Below are 16,492 nucleotides of genomic sequence, written 5' to 3'. Positions count from 1 at the left end.
AATTACTTAACTTCTTTATGCCTCAGATATGAGCTGGGGCATATATTATCTACTCTCTCATAGGAATGTTGAGGATATTAATAACAGTATGTGCATAAAATGCTCAGCATAGTATCTGGCATTATATATGTATATATATGCTAAGCATTTTATATGCATAATATATGTGATGACTGTATGTTAGCTACTATCAGCATTTAGTACCCGAGAAAAAAATCCATCTCATGGAGATGCTTTTTTTATTGTTGTTTTTGAGACAGAGTCCTGTTCTGTCGCCCAGGCTGGAGTGCAGTGGCGTGATCTCGGCCCACTGCAACCTACACTTCGTGGGTTCAAGCGATTCTCCTGCCTCAGCCTCCTGAGTAGCTGGGACTACAGGCGCGTGCCACCACACCCGGCTAATTTTTTGTATTTTTAATGGAGACAGGGTTTCACCGTGTTAGCCAGGATGGTCTTGATCTCCTGACCTTGTGATCCACCCGCCTTGGCCTCCCAAAGTGCTGGGATTACAGGCGTGAGCCACTGAACCCGGCTGGAGTTGCTTTTTAGTTGCTGGGACATGCATCTTACTAGAAAACTCTCAAGTATGTCATTGTATTTTTGTTTTAATGTTAGGAGGTAGAAAAAGTTAGGAAATGTGTCAAGCAGTAAAGGAAAAGTCAAGCAGACTATATCTACCTTTCAGGCTTGATATGCCTTACTTTGCTTATTCATTCATTCATTCACTTATTTTTCAACAAATATATATTTGTTATCTATCAAATACCAGGCACTATGCTAAGCACAGGATTAAACAGCACTTTTCAAAAAATAAATACCTAGAGCTTTATTCCCATTTCTTAAAGGAAAATCTTACATTAAAAAAAGCTATTGTGTGGCACTACTAAATAAGTAGGGGTTTGAAGCCAAATTTAGAAATTATATATAGACACATATATGTTTTTCTGATGATCAAATCTTTCAAATTGGCTTTGAACAAACAGGAGCAATTTTCTGCTATAAAAAGGAATGTATTTTAGCTTTTGACCTAATGATTTAAAAAAAAAACTAAGAGTGGGAAAATGCAAATTACGTGAATATATAATTTGGCATCGGTGACATATCAGCAGAAGGAGCTGCTGACAGGAAGACAGTTTTTTTTTTCTTTTTAGCCGTAGGCATTCCTCATTTCTGTTTTTAGGAACAAGGAAAACTAGTAGACAGAAATATCCCTGGGTACATGGACTACATATTTCACATGCACAGCATAAAATATTTAATAAAACGAAGGAGGTGCCTGAAAAATCAAGACTTCAATAGATGAAGGTGGTCACAACAATTAAAATACATCCTTTCTTCCCCCTCATGGCACAGGATAATGAGGTATGGAAAAAACATGTAGGGTTGCTTTAAACTATTTGGCAATATTTGCCAGATGAAATTTTGAAAAAACATTTTCTTTTCAGCGTTTTCATTCCACTTGAATAATGAGTACCACATTATAGGTTTCGATAGCCCATGAATTTTTATCTTTATTTTAATCGTTAAGGTCAAGTTAGCATTGATTACTAATAAGTGATTCTAAATGAATAGTATTATTTTAGGAATAATAGGAACTAACGTTTATTAAATGTTTACTGTGTGCTCAGTTCAGTGCTTTAAAGGCGATTTCCCATTTAATTCTCACCACCACCCAAGGACACAGCTGCTATCATGATCTCATCTCACACATGAAAAAGCTGAGAGGTGGAAAGTGTTACGACCTTGTTTAATTACAAAGGAAGTTAGCAAAAGAGCCAAGATTGGAACTCAGAGAAGTCTGACTCCAGAGCCCATGCTTACCCGCCATGCTATTCTGAATGGAAGGGCTCATGTAGTTCACCTGTTTATTCATATTTTCTAATTTGTTCTTTTTGAAATAGTGATTCCTGTTCAGATTCCACTTTTAATCCTTGCCCATTTTCTCAATTCTATGAAAGGCTCATTTAACTTAATAGTTATGCAAGTCCACACCTGTCTGAATGATACACTGGCTCATTCATTTAGTTGAAAGGTAGACACCAAATTGATTTTTAAAAAGACATACGAACCTAATTGAAAAAAAATTCATGAATCACCTTAATGAGGAATTGGTACCAGGAAATGCAGTACAGAGAACCTCAGACAATTTGCTTTTGGAAAAGCGCTAATCAACCACATATTCATCTGGAATGAAAATGCCTCTCTAGCAAGACATTGTGTGATAATGAAGTACAGGAGGTGAGAGCCGTCTCAGTGACTTTTAATTATTTCTCATTCTTCTGTGTCTGAAGACGATGGTGCGTATATTACCGAAAAGTGAGGTGACCAGTATTCTTTCCAGCATTGGGTAAATTAAAGACAAAGTGGACATCATTTGCAAATTCTTGCATTTTTTTCTTTGCAGCTGTTGTTCATCATTTCCTTCCCTAATTTGTTCCAAGATTAGCTGACTTGTCACAGTCATTTCCTCGTGGTCCACCACCCTGCCATGACGGTTGAAGGTATGTTCTGTGTTCTTTAAACCTCTATTTCTTTTTTTCCGAAACAGCTTCTGCCTCATTCAAAATAAAAACATTATAACATCTTGCTATTATCTATTTTACATACATTTACATTCTGCTGGAGTTACACCCTTTTTAATGCAAACCTCTTTGGAATTTGGTTGTTGAGTCCCTCATTCTTATTGATGAAACTCAAGAAATCAGATCAGACATCATAACTCTTTAAACATCAAATTCTCTTAAGAGTTTATCACTATGTGGGTGACATCTTTGGTATCATGAGCATTTTTACCATCTTAATATTCCTTCCTCCATTATAATTCTGAGAAAATCAAAATCCACTTCCATGTAATAGAAAATATTACTCTTGGCTGGGCATGGTGGTTCATGCCTGTAATCCCAGCACTTTGGAAGGCTGAGGCAGGCGGATCACAAAGTCAAGAGATCAAGACCATCCCGGCCAATATGGTGAAACCCTGTCTCTACGAAAAATACAAAATTTAGCTGGGCGTGGTGGTGCGCACCTGTAGTCCCAGCTACTCAGGAGGCTGAGGCAGGAGAACTGCTTGAATCTGGGAATCGGAGGTTGCAGTGAGCCGAGATTGTGCCACTGCATTCCAGCCTGGCGACAGAGTGAGACTCTGTCTCAAAAAAAAAAAAAAAAAAAAAAAAAAAAAAGGAAAAGAAAATATTACTCTTTCCCTTGTCTGTTTCTTACCATCCTGTATTTATCCAAACTTAGACATACTTACACACTTGGATACTGGCCCAAATTTCCATATCCCAAGAAAAGATGGGCTACATAGTTTTTGAAGCCCAGTGTGAAATGAAAATACAGGGCCCCCTTTTTTTTTTTTTTTTTAAAAAAAAGCAGGAAATAGTGTGGTTTAAGGTATTAAATATAAAACTTTTTTCTTCCTTCCGTGGTCTGTCTCTCTCAACTTGTCGTAGTGTTTTTATGTGCTATTTAATATCATTCTAAGTAAATAAAATTTAAAAAAATTATTAATATGATGTTCTCACAGCCACTGGGAGAAAAAAAATTAGTATGATGTTTACTGCTTATATTGGGCAATGCCAGTTTTAAATGCAAATAGAACATTTAACTCCTATGTAGAATCACTGAAATTACATAATTCATACCTCATGGCACTGATAAGCCAAACTTAGATAGGGGTACATAGGCAACCCCAAGGATATTGCAACCTTTGGGCTAGAAGCCTTTACGTACTTGGATTGAAGATAAGTGAAAGAAAGGTTTGGACGGGAGTGGTGGCTCACGCCTGTAATCCCAGCACTTTGGGAGGCCGATCATGAGGTCAAGAGATGAAGACCATCCTGGCCAACATGGTGAAACCCCGTTTCTACTAAAAATACAAAAATTAGCTGGGCGTGGTGGCGTGCACCTGTAGTTCCAGCTACTTGGGAGGCTGAGGCAGGAGAATCACTTGAACCCAGGAGGTGGAGGTTGCAGTGAGCTGAGATCACGCCATTGCACTCCAGCCTGGCAACAGAGAGAGACTCCGTCTCAAAAAAAAAAAAAAAAGGTTTATCTCCCCTGAGTTGTGGTCCCCAGTTGGCTACAGCCTCTGCACCACGGCACTGCCAGCCTAGGGTAGAATGGCTTCCACCATGCTCTGCCTGAAGACTTTCTGGGTCACGTATGCCCTGCCCAACTCCTATCTATACCTGCACCCAGGCCGCTGTTGGGGGATGAAGACTGGCAGCAGTAGCTGGACAGGGTGGGGAGGGTGAGGCCCTTGGCAAGACAGAGGGTAGCCAAGAATCCTAGGAAGGTGGGGATGGAATGGGAAGCAGAGCCATGAGTGAGCAGAGGCTCTAATCCCCTCCACAAGCTCCATTTTCCCAGTGACTTAAAAATTGTTAAGAATTTCAAAAGGGTGACAGCGGAGGATTAAAACCCATATGTGGAGCCCTTCTGACATGGGTCTTTGTGCAACTGCGGTGGTCACAAGGCCATGAACCCAACCCAACTGTGCAAGGGACTTCGTATTTAACCCAAGGAGATAGGTATAAGCAAACAACATCGCTTTACAATAAAATAATGAAAAATAACTTTTTTATTGTTGCTGTCCGTGATTCATACATAGAAATCTAAAAATACCTACTTTATTTCCTTTAAAAATATATGAGAAATGTCCCTCTCATGAATATAAGAAAACTCTTAGGGAAATATAATTTTCCCTGCTGTAACCATATTCCAGCCTACTGGTTAATAACCATGATGATGATACTAGCTGAACATACCCTAGGAGTTGTGTTGGAGATTGTGCTAGGTATTTTCCATGAATTTACTTTATGTGAATTATCTCAACTATGTCCTATAACATGGAGTAAGTACAATTTTTAGCTCTACTTTATAGATGAAGAAGCTAACATAGAGAAGTCAACTTGTCCAAGATCAGAAAATGAAAAGAATGATCTATTTGAGTTTATTACACTAATGTAGAATAATTTAATATAGGAAGCCTATAAAAAGATATATTACATCTGGAGGTCAAGTTGGAAAAATGATATAACCGATTTATCAGTGACTACTGAAAGGCATTTGAGATGATTCAACACTCAATCCTTTTTCTTCCAAATTCAGGAAATAAAGGATACTTTCTTCTGATCAACAGCAAAATGTTAATTTGAACAATTACAGAGATCATCCTATTAAAATGGGAATTCGAAAGATTTCTGCTGCCTCTATTAGTATTTTACACTCTTCTGGAGGCTATGATCAATGCAATAATACAGAAGATAGAAATAGAAGCAATAATGTAGATAGGGCAAAGACACATTTGCCTTAGTTTGCATGTAATATGACTGCCCACCAGAAAACCTAAGAGAATCAATTGAAAAACTTTCAGTACTACCAAGAGTTCAGTTAAGTGCTGAACAAATAAAATCAGTTGCTTCTCTGTATACCAACAAAAATCAGATAGAAAATCTAACGGAAAAATGTCCATTTTTTTTTTTTTTGAGACAGTCTTGCTCTGCTGCCCAGGCTGGAGTGCAGTGGCGCAATCTCAGCTCACTACAAGTTCCACCTCCCAGGTTCAAGCAATTCTCCTGCCTCAGCCTCCCGAGTAGCGGGACTACTCCTGCCCACCATCACACCTGGCTAATTTTGGTATTTCTAGTAGGGATGGGGTTTCACCATCTTGGCCAGGCTGGTCTCAAACTCCTGACCTTGTGGTCCACCTGCCCTGGCCTTTCAAAGTGCTGGGATTACAGGCATGAGCCACTGCGCCTGGCCAAATGTCCATTCTTAAAAGCAACAATAGGTATGCATATTATAGGAAAGACCATAATTGTAAGAAGCAGGCATGACCTGGATAATGAAACCCATAAATCTTGACTTGTAAGTAGAATATACAACTGAACTCAAATAATTATCACTGAATGAAATGGTATAGTATAAAGGTGTTGTGATGGTTAACGTCATGTGTCAACCTGACTGGGCCATTTGGTGCCCAGATACTTGACAAATGTTATTCTGGGTGTGTCTGTGAGGGTGTTTTTGGAGGAGTTTAACATTTAAATCAGTAGACTAAAGCAGATTGCTATCCCTGATGTGGGCAGGCCACATCCAATCATTTGAAAGTCTGAAGAGAACAAAAAGGCTGACTTTCGGCCAGTGTGGTGGCTCACGCCTATGATCCCAGCAATTTGGGAGGCCAAGGCGGGCGGATCACGAGGTCAGGAGATTGAGACCATCCTGGCTAACATGGTGAAACCCCGTCTCTACTAAAAAATAAAAAAATTAGCCAGGTGTGGTGGTGGGCACCTGTAGTCCCACCTACTCGGGAGGCTGAGGCAGGAGAATGGTATGAACCTGGGAGGTGGAGCTTGCAGGGAGCAGAGATCATGCCACCGCACTCCAGCCTGAGTGACAGAGTGAGGCTCTGTCTCAAACAAACAAACAAACAAACAAACAAACAAAAGGCTGACTTTCTTCTGAGTAAGACAATTCCTTCTGCCCATCTGCTTTCAAGTTGAAACATGAGCTCTTCCTAGATCTTAAGCCTGCCAGCCTTTGGACTAGAATTACACCATTGGCTCTCCTGGTTCTCAGGCTTTAGGATTGAAATAAGAAATACAACGTCTGCTCACCTGAGTCTCCAGCTTGCCACCTCCCCCTGCAGATCTTGGGATTTGTCAGCCTCCATAATCACATGTGCCGATTTCTTACAATAAATCTCTTTATGTACATCCCATTGGTTCTGTTTCTCTGGAGAACCATAATACAATTGTCAATCAGTCCAAATTAATTTATAATTTTAAAGTGAGTAAATAAAAATCTCACTTGGAGAAGATAAAACAATTCTAATATTCATCTGAAAGGATAAGCCAGTATGAATAGTTTTTAAAAATTAAAAAGAGGAATTTACATGTGGCTATTGAAGATGGAGGCACGTTAGTCTTACAAAATAGTCTAACATATTATAAAGTAAGTAAAACAATGTAGTTACAAGAACAGCCAGATAGTCCAAATGAAGAGAATAGTTTATTTATTTACATCCCCACACAAGGAGTATGCTGAAATAGATTTAGGTATGTAAAAATCTTTTTAAATATTTAAAATATAATTTGCATTATATTAGGTGGCAAAAAGGAAGAATTATTCCATAAATAGTGCTGGATAAGTTGGTTAGATATTTGTGGGTCAAACAAACTAGGTCCTCATTTTTTACCAGGTAACAAAATTAGTCCCAGGTGGATTTTTTTAGTTATATGCAAAGAAAATAGAAACAATAAAATATATGACAGTTTATTAAATTGGAAGAGGTATTTCTAAGCTTAAAAGCAGTAAGGAAATGGCAACTAAAAAGATCACATCCAAATACATAAAAATGAAAATCTTTGAGATATATATATAAATAAAACTGAAATAATACACTGGAAGAATACGTGCAACTTATAGGACAGCCAAATGATCTATATATTTGATATACAAAGAAAGTGAATGAACAGATTTAAAAAAATATATGTGGCAAAAGACAGAAATAGATAACCCATAAATAACAAAAATCTTAATGGTTAGCAAAAAATGTCAATAACAAAGGGGTTTATTTCTAGCTTCTGTTAATAGTGGAGCAGTTTGATTGGACTAATCCTCCAATTAAAAACAAACAAACAACTAGATAGTGCACTTTCCCCATCATAACCAGAATACATGGGTTCAGGAATCAAAAGTAGGATGAAAGAATGGCTCCTCTATTATATTTGTCTTAGTCTGTTTCAGCTGCTATAACAAAATAGCTTATACTGGGTAATTCATAAACAACAGAAACTTATTTCTTACAGTTCTAGATGCTGGGAAGTCCCAGATCAAGCAGATTCAGTGCCTGGCGAGGGCTTGCTTTCTGCTTCCAATATGGCATCTTCTTGTGGCTCTTCACCTGGAGGAAGGGGTGAACAGTTCCCTTGCACCTCTTTTACCAAGGCACTAATCTCATTTATGAGGGTTCCACTCTCATGACTTAATCACTTCCTAAAGGCCCCATTTCTTAATACTATTACGTTTGTGATTAGATTTCAACATATAAATTTTGGGAGGTCACCAACATTCAGACCGTAGCAACACCTAATAACACACTTGCAGAATATTTGCTGCTGCTTCTGGCATCTTTGAGCTCTGCCATTTCAGAGATCTGAGTTCTTAAAGGGAACATGGTTTCCACCATGAGACACAATGGTTCCACTGAATTGGAGAAAGATTTCCATTTGGCTATTCTGGACTCCTCATGCTACTGAATCAACAGGCAGAAAGGTGGATTGCTCTACTAGGTGGAGTGACTGATCCCTATTGCCAAGAGGAAACTGGGTTGCCTTTATACATTAGGGGCAAGGAAGACTATGTCTGTAACCCAGGAGACAGTTTGGGGTGTATATTAGTACTCCATATGCAATAGAAAAGTGTAGTAGAAAAGTACAGAAACCAAAATAAAAGGCAGGATAATTGAGGACTTGGAACTTTCAGGAATGAGAGTTTGAATTACTCTACCAGGTTCTGGCTGGAGGTGGGCGAAATCAATGAACAGTAGAAGAAGGAAGCCATAAGTAAAAATTAGGGCCTTGTGACCAACTGCAGAAAAAAGGGCTGTAGTCATTTTGAATATTTCCTTTTTTGCTTTTCATGTGTATGTACTTATGTATATATGCTCACATTTTCCTCTTCTTGCTCCCTTCTATTAACAAAAATTTTATATGCAAGTTGCTAGAGGTTAAATTCACAATTAGTCTTTGGGCAACAGACTATCCAGTGGAACTGTGATGATTCTAAAGGGCAATTAATATAGCCACAGCACTGTATGCAATGATTGTTGCATCTCCTCATTTTGGAGATGATGAGTATCCTGTTAGGTGAAATGTAGAGTTATTATTGTATGGCATTCAAGTGTGCGTAGAAGGTATATATGGACAGTGAGTACTCAAAGGGGCAGACTATGCTGTTTATTGATGTATTTCCTCTTAGCTCCAAATTCACCATATTTTGGCCTACTTTGTAATAAATGAAGATGGATTTTGGAAATATTTCTCCTTTGCTAGCTAGCCGAGTGTTAAACCTTGTCAGTAGAGGGTTCTGGAGGACGCTGGAGGAGGAAGGGATTTTCCTTTCCTGGTTCTGGTATGATTCACTCTCTAGGCTGTTGTAGGGCACACTCCACCCTCCCCTGCATGCTTATTCCCTGTGTGGTTTCTCCCATGCTGCAGGCTGCAATTTTCTCAAGTGTTCAGCTGGAGATTATCCGGGATTTCCCAGATGGTATGGGCCTGCACACCAAACCAAGTCACTGCTCCCCACATCTTTTCAGTCCTAGAATCCCAGGGCCGTCCTGCAGGCATGCTGGGCTCCTAGAGGGCTGCTTCTCCAGATTTCGGTTCCAGCAGTGCCCAGCCACCACCAGCTCCCTCTGACACTCAGGGAGTTCACTCTGATGATTTAAGACTCCACTTTTCTGTGGATGGCCCCCCTGGCACCCCAGAAACTTCTAGCAACTCCCACTTATGCTCCCACTTACGAGGCACCTTAGTGACTTCTCCACTATCCAGTGAATCAAAGGTGTGCCCTTTCCAAAGACATCTGGATTTCAGCCCTAGTAGGGGGAAAGCTCTATATTGGGAGCTCTATCTCAGTCTTAGCCATAACGGTTGCTCCTGATACCTGCTAGTCTTTTATTTGTTAAAATTATCTTAACTTTCACTAGTCAATTTGCCATTATTCTAATCATTTCTTACATTAAAATTTCCTTGTTTAAATGGTGGTTTTTGTCTCCTAACTGGACCCCAACTACTACATCTGGTAATACTCCTTGTCTTGGCATCATTTTGTCTGATGTTAATACAGCCACTCCAGTTTCTTATTACTGTTTACATAGGATCTTTTTTCTCTATCATTTTACATGTACTCTATCCATGTCTTTATATATAAAATACATATTTTCAAGGCAGCAGATAATCTTCATTAAAAACTGATTAACATCTGAGTTTTAGTTGGAATGTTTAGTGAACTTACATTTAACATTAATTACTAATTTGGTTGAATTTATGTAATCACTTTGCTATTTTATTCTATTTGTTGTACCCATTTTTTTGTTTCCTCCTTTCCTGCGTTATGGGTTAGCCATTTAAAAAAAATTACTGCATTTTAACTCACTTACGGTTCTATGGGTCGCAATCTATATTAACTGAATTAATACTATGCCATTGCACCTACAATACAATCTTACAACAGTATACTTCTATTTACCCCTTTCTGTCCTTTGCGATATTACCAAATAATTTAATGATAAACGCAGCAATGCATTATTTTCATTTTAAAGAGTCAATTGCCTTTTTCTTTTTCTCTTTTTTTTTTTGAGACAGAGTCTTGCTCCCAGGCTGCAGTGCAATGGTGCGATCTCGGCTCACTGCAACCTCCACCTCAGTCAAGTGATTCTTCTGCCTTGGCCTCCTGAGTAGCTGGGATTACAGGCATGCGCCACCACGCCCGGCTAATTTTTGTATTTTTGTAGAGATGGGGTTTTACCATGTTGCCCAGGATGGTTTTGAATTCCTACCCTCAGGCGACCCACCGCCTCAGTCCCCCAAAGTGCTGGGATTACAGGTGTGAGCCACCGCGCCTAGTCTCAATTGCCTTTTTATACACTTAAGGGAAAACATTGTATATTTTACTAAACATTTATCATTTACGTGGTGAACTTTATTTTGTATGTATCAAAATTTTTGGCTAGTTTCATTCCCCAATTGCCTAAAGAAGTTCTTTTAACTCTTCCAGTGTGCAGGTCTGCTGGTTACATTCTCTCCGACAGTATTTATCGGAAGGTGTCTTTATATAACCATTATTTTAAAAGACTATTTTACTGAATATACTATTCCAGTTTAACACTTTTTTCTTTCCACCATTTAAAGATGTTATACAATTATCTTCTGTTCTCCATTATTACTGATAAGTCAGCACTGATTCTTATCATTACCCTTGTATATATCTTTTGTCTCTGAAAAAAAATTTTTGTTTTTGCTTTCTAGCCATTTAATTAGGATATGAACAGATGTGGGTTTGTTTGGGGTTAAACTTCTTGAAACTCTTACACATTTCTTCAAATTTGGGAAGAATTTTGGTTAGTACTTTTTCAATTTTTCTTTTACTCTCCCACCCTCTTCCCCTCTTCTTGATCTCCAATTACACTTACAGTAGTCTGTTTTGTGTGGTTCCATAGTTCACTGAGGTGCTATTCTTTTCTTTTCCTCAATAGTTTTTTCTTTTGTGCATCAGTTTGGATAGCTTGTATTTCCCTGCCTTTAAGTTTACTGATCATTTCTTCTGTCTCCAATCTTCTATTAGGTTCACAGAATGAATTTTTATTTCAAGTATTGTATTTTTCAATTCTAAAATTTTCATTTGGTTTTTATAGTTTTCATTGTTCTGTCTGTAATTACCATCTCTTTACCTATTATGCTATTATTTTTACTTAAACCCTTGAACATGTTTATAATAGTTCTTAAAGTTTTTATCTGCTAATTCAAATATGTGGGTCACCTCTGGGCCTTTTTCTATGAATGACTTTCTCCCCTTTTTAAGGGTCACATTTTCCTGCTTAGCCTAATATTGGCTTACTTTATAGTGGATGTTATGGATACTACACTGTTGACAGTAGGAATTTGCTGTCTTCCTGTGCAGGTATTGAGTTTTGTTCTGGCAGGTAGCTGCGGTACTGATAGGATAGCTTGGTCCTGTCAAGGTTTAATTTTAGGATAGGTCAAGAGTTGTCTTTACTTTAGAGGTACAGTAGCCTTACCCCTAACCTGTGACCTTTACTTAATGCTTGGGTTGTTCAGTGAGACCTTCACACACTGGCTGATTTGAACACTGATGGCTCCCAGCACTATGGGACCTCCAGTGACTGTTTTCTGCCGTGCCCCATGAAGTCTTGCCTTGCTTACGTACAGCTTAGTATTCAGTCAGACTTAACAGTACCCCTATGCAGATTTTTGGTGCTTCTTTTCTGCACAGCTCCCCTTCCCTGGTACTCTGTCCCATAAATTTCAGCCAGCTACTTGAGCTATTCTTAACTCTGGTCCCATTTCTGCCATCCCATGCAACTCTTTTTTGTCTGGGCTCCACTTACTTCTGCTGTAGTTTGGAAAGCCCTTCCAGGAAGAAAGCCACTGAATGCAGAGTTCCACCACATAGTTTTCCCTTCTTTCAAGGATCAAGGCCCTGAATTATTTGTTGTGCAATGTCGTAGTTGTTTATGGTAGAAGGATAAGTCTAATAGTCATGGCTCTCCAATGGAGGTTTTGATTTCAGCAAATGCTTATTTCTAGAAATTCTATCTCATAAGTGTATCTGTTTAATCCCTACAGTTTTCTCATTTTGTGTAACAATTTTTGAAATTTCAAAGTTAATTTCACATATAGCCTGTATTCTGTATTTTGTATTCAGTTCCAACATATGCATTTTCTGCAGTCTAAATGTATTGTTGCCTTTGATTTTCACTCATAGTGGCTACCTTTATCTGGATTTGGTTGAATTCTTTTAAAGTTTATGCTTGATTATCATGTAAGACTCTTTTGGGATAGTTTCTTCTGCTTCATTCTGGTGTGTGTGTGTGTGTGTGTGTGTGTGTGTGTGTGTGTGTACACTGATCTCAGGAACTTTTGGGATTCCCTTAAAAGTTTTAACTCAGAAGAGGAGGGCCCATTCAGGTCCTCTCCCTCACTGCTGTTTCAAAGCTGATTATGCTCACACACTGTCAGTAGAGAACTCTGGCTTCAGGGCAATCTCTCCTCTCCATAAAGCCCGCAGGCTCCCAACCATTCCAGTTCCAACCATCTGTGAACTCTGTTGCTCTAGCTGAGGAGCCTCCCCTTATGTGGTCTGGTTCCTGGTGATTTCTAGCAAGTCCAATTCAGGCTCTAAACTGATAGTTTCCACTCCTGGCTACTTGGGGCTCAGCACTTAGATTTTTTAAAAAATTATTTTTACCCCTTTTTTGTTTTTTGTTTTTGAAGGGAAGAAATCACAGGACACTAGAAATGGTTCAGTGTACATTGTATTTGGGGTTTAGCTATTGTGGAGCAGAAATTAACCTAAGCTTTTAAAACCTCACATATCTGGGAGCAAAAACACATATGTTAATTTGCTAATCAGTCAAATAACAAAAATAAAAGGCAATAAATATCTCTATCTGAATTACTAACATACATCTTTATGTGGCAATTTATCACTATGAGAAACTGAATTAGTAGCATAATCTATTTAGTATTTCCTTTTGCTTAATTTACTTCTCAGTCCAAATAGTAAAGGATACTTTCCATAGACTGAATCTTTATAAATTTTAGAAAAAACATATTTAAGTTGACAAATGAAGGCTGACATTTGGCTGTGCTTTAATAGGCTGAACAACAAGCAAATCCTATTGCTTTATTTGTTCATTTTGCAATACGTCTTGACATCACTTTCTCCTCTTTCTTAAATTTGCCTACTTAGCAGGGCACAATGTAGTTTTGATGTGCAATCTGATTTCAAAAGATTCTTTGTGACAGCTAATCTTCTGTACACTCACTGTAATTAAATATTACAGCACAAATGGTACATAAGATACTCACTTACTTGAGAAACTCTTAGCACCAAAGAGCAATGGCATAAAAAAGTATAGATTTTCAGGGTGCTTTTCATAGATTTTTCAGCTTAAATATTTAACTCTTATAGCACCTAGAGCTTGCAAAAGCATGATATAGCATACACTCAAAATATCTTTACTGTCTTTTATTCTGTCCTAAACTCTTATTTTACCTCAGTTTAAAATCTGCTAGCAGACTAATGTGCTTACCTTTAAGCTACTTGCTTCATTCCTAAATAATACACATATAGGAAATGCCATACTGAATTAGATTAATAATCAAGTTCATTTGTCTCTGATGGTAAATGTGACCAGAATATACTGTGTCAGAGAGTGTAGCTGCCATCTTTACCTTTTTGAACCGAGTAACTGATTCCCCCTGATGTTCCTTTCTCAATTCTTTCCTTCTGCAGTCCTACCATCCAAACCTAAACTGTGTGGTAGTTCCACAAATTTACAATCACCGTAATACTTTTATTTTTTCTTCAAACCATCTCTTCCCACTTCAAGAAGTAGTCTAACTCTAGATTTGGTGAATAAATTCACCGAATACATAGCCTTCATGATTTATTCCCACTTTTACCAGACTGAGATCCTAAGTGTTAAAAATGTGCTTTTCTTAAAAAGTAAACATACCCATGCTAACAATACTCTAATAGTTCAATAACAGCTCATTAAATATAACCACGCCCCCATCTTCAAAGATAACCATCCTTAAGTTCCTTGTGGGTACTTCCAGATATATTAGAACTATGTGTAACTATGGAGTTAAATATGTTGTTTTGGATGCCGATTTTTCCTCACTCCCTCTTGAAACTATACCATAATGACAGGAAAGGAATTTTTTTTTCAGTATAGGTTTCTTTCTCAAGGACAGGAAAACTGGAAGAGAGTACAGAGACAAAATTTTTAAATCTCAGAAACATATGGTAATAAACTCATAGACCATAGAGAACTTAAATGCCTGCAATACGGAGACACCTTGAAAGTGGCAGACTCACCCCACAGAGTTCCTCAAAGGCTTAAGTGAAGGATTCAGGTACCTCTCAAGGTTGTACTATAAGAAGGAATGATTGAAACTGTTTAGGAAGAATTTACATTACAGGCTCCTCCCTGCCTGAAACTCATCCCCCTGGATCTCCCCTTCCAAACACATCAGCAGAAAACCCTTCAGTGGTCAAATCAGAGAGAGGTTTTTTTTTTTTTTTTTTCCTTTTGAGATGGAGTCTTGCTCTGTTACCCAGGCTAAGTGCAGTGGCAAAATCTCAGCTTACTGCAACCTCCACCTCCCAGGTTCAAGTGATTCTCCTGCCTCAGCCTCCCGAGTAGCTGGGACTACAGGCGTGCACCACCATACCTGGCTAATTTTTGTATTTTCAGTAGAGATGGGGTTTCACCATCTCGGTCAGGCTGGTCTTGAACTCCTGACTCGTGATCCACCCGCCTCAGCATCCCAAAGTACTGGGATTACAGGTGTGAGCGATCGTGCCTGGCCACCAGAGAGGTGTTATATGCACAAGGAGAAGAGAGGATTGAAGTTTGGGGTAACATACTGAAGAAAGGGGCTTCAAGATTTCTTTCTCACACTCAACTTTGAACAAAATAGCAGCCAACCTTTAAACTGCCAGGCAGGCGAAATCTGGCCAGCCAAAGAGAAAAGACCTATACATACTGATAGTCAAGATTCCTCGTATGAAATGCCCCAGCTACAACAGCAAATAATAAAATCCATCAGTCAAAAGCTCATCTCAGCCACACAGAGATTCAAATTTCTTTGTAAATATGAACGTATACCAAAGGATTGCCAGATATTTGAGAAATACCTCTAATATGAGAAACCCAAAATACAAATGGGAAAAAAAGAAATAAGGCAATGAAGGGAGCACAAGAAAACTTTAAAGAAACTGAAATAATCAGAGAGAATAAAAGATAATAGATGAAACAAGAATGGGAGAAAATAAAAAAGGAAAACTCAAGAAAAAAGAATATGATGAAATTAAAAAAACCCCTCAAGAATGCAGATAGAAGACTAATTGGAAATCTTTAAAAGGTACAATAAAAAGACAAAGACATGAACAGTGGAAAAGAAAGATTACAGGCTATATTACAGGCTATACTCATAGGAGATTCATTATCTGAATAATAGAAATACCAGGAAAACTGAGCAGAGAAAACAAGAGGGCAAGAAGTTCTCAAATAAATAATTACATTTTTTTTCCAGAAATGAATGCCATGAGTTTTTAGGTTGAAAAGACTGTTGAGTGCTCAGCACAAACATCAAGCAAAAGACTTTTATCAAGGTACATTAATTTGAAATTTTGGAATAGTAGGGGCAAAGGGAAGATTCTACTAAGTCCTAGAAAGAAGAGAAAAAGGTAATGGATCAGAATATAGCATCTGATTTCTTGGGAACAAACTGGAAGCTGGAAGACAGTGGGGCAATGCTTTCAGAATTCTGAGGGAAAAGGTATACCATACTCTATTTCTATCCCTGGACGAGCCGTTACCAAAGTAGGAGGGTACAATAAAGGTGTTTTCAGCACACGAGATCTCAAAATTTACTTACTGTGCAACTTTCTCAGGAAATATGGAGGTTTATGCTCTATTCCAAAAAATAAAAGATAAGAAACAGGATGACCTGGGAGATAGAGAGGGTTAAATACAATCTTGAACAGAGAGAGAGGGGAGATCCTAGAATAACACCTCTGGGCCAGGCCTAGAGGACAACCATTCTAGATGGGACAGTAGGATGGAAAGCTCCAGCAGGCATTTCTAACATAACAAAACCTTACCTATTACCTTACATATTTAAATATATTAACCATGCATGTATAGTTCTGGTCACCAGTCTGG

General features: G+C 38.4%; 1 protein-coding gene across 4 annotated transcripts in view; it reads right to left on the bottom strand.

The window, feature by feature from the left end:
* Nucleotides 1–2,244: 2,244 nt before the first annotated feature.
* MICU3 (mitochondrial calcium uptake family member 3) overlaps nt 2,245–16,492 on the bottom strand; it is a 111,403-nt gene continuing 97,155 nt past the window's right edge. The window contains exons 16-19 of one of the 4 annotated variants that reach the window (NR_182123.1): nt 14,641–14,696; nt 7,816–7,912; nt 6,624–6,741; nt 2,245–2,551 (exon numbers count right to left, since the gene is read on the bottom strand). The gene's annotated coding sequence lies outside the window, so the exon portion shown is untranslated. Of the gene's footprint in view, nt 2,552–6,623; nt 6,742–7,815; nt 7,913–10,122; nt 14,697–16,492 lie in introns of those variants that run through there. The other 3 variants (XR_007060729.1, XR_001745514.2, XR_001745515.3) reach the window with 3 other exon arrangements.

The sequence above is a fragment of the Homo sapiens genome, chromosome 8, assembly GCF_000001405.40.
Source record: "Homo sapiens chromosome 8, GRCh38.p14 Primary Assembly".
In the NCBI taxonomy this organism is placed as follows: domain Eukaryota; kingdom Metazoa; phylum Chordata; class Mammalia; order Primates; family Hominidae; genus Homo; species Homo sapiens.
The sequence above is the reverse complement of the archived record's forward strand: the minus strand, read 5'-3'. Positions and strand labels throughout refer to the sequence as shown.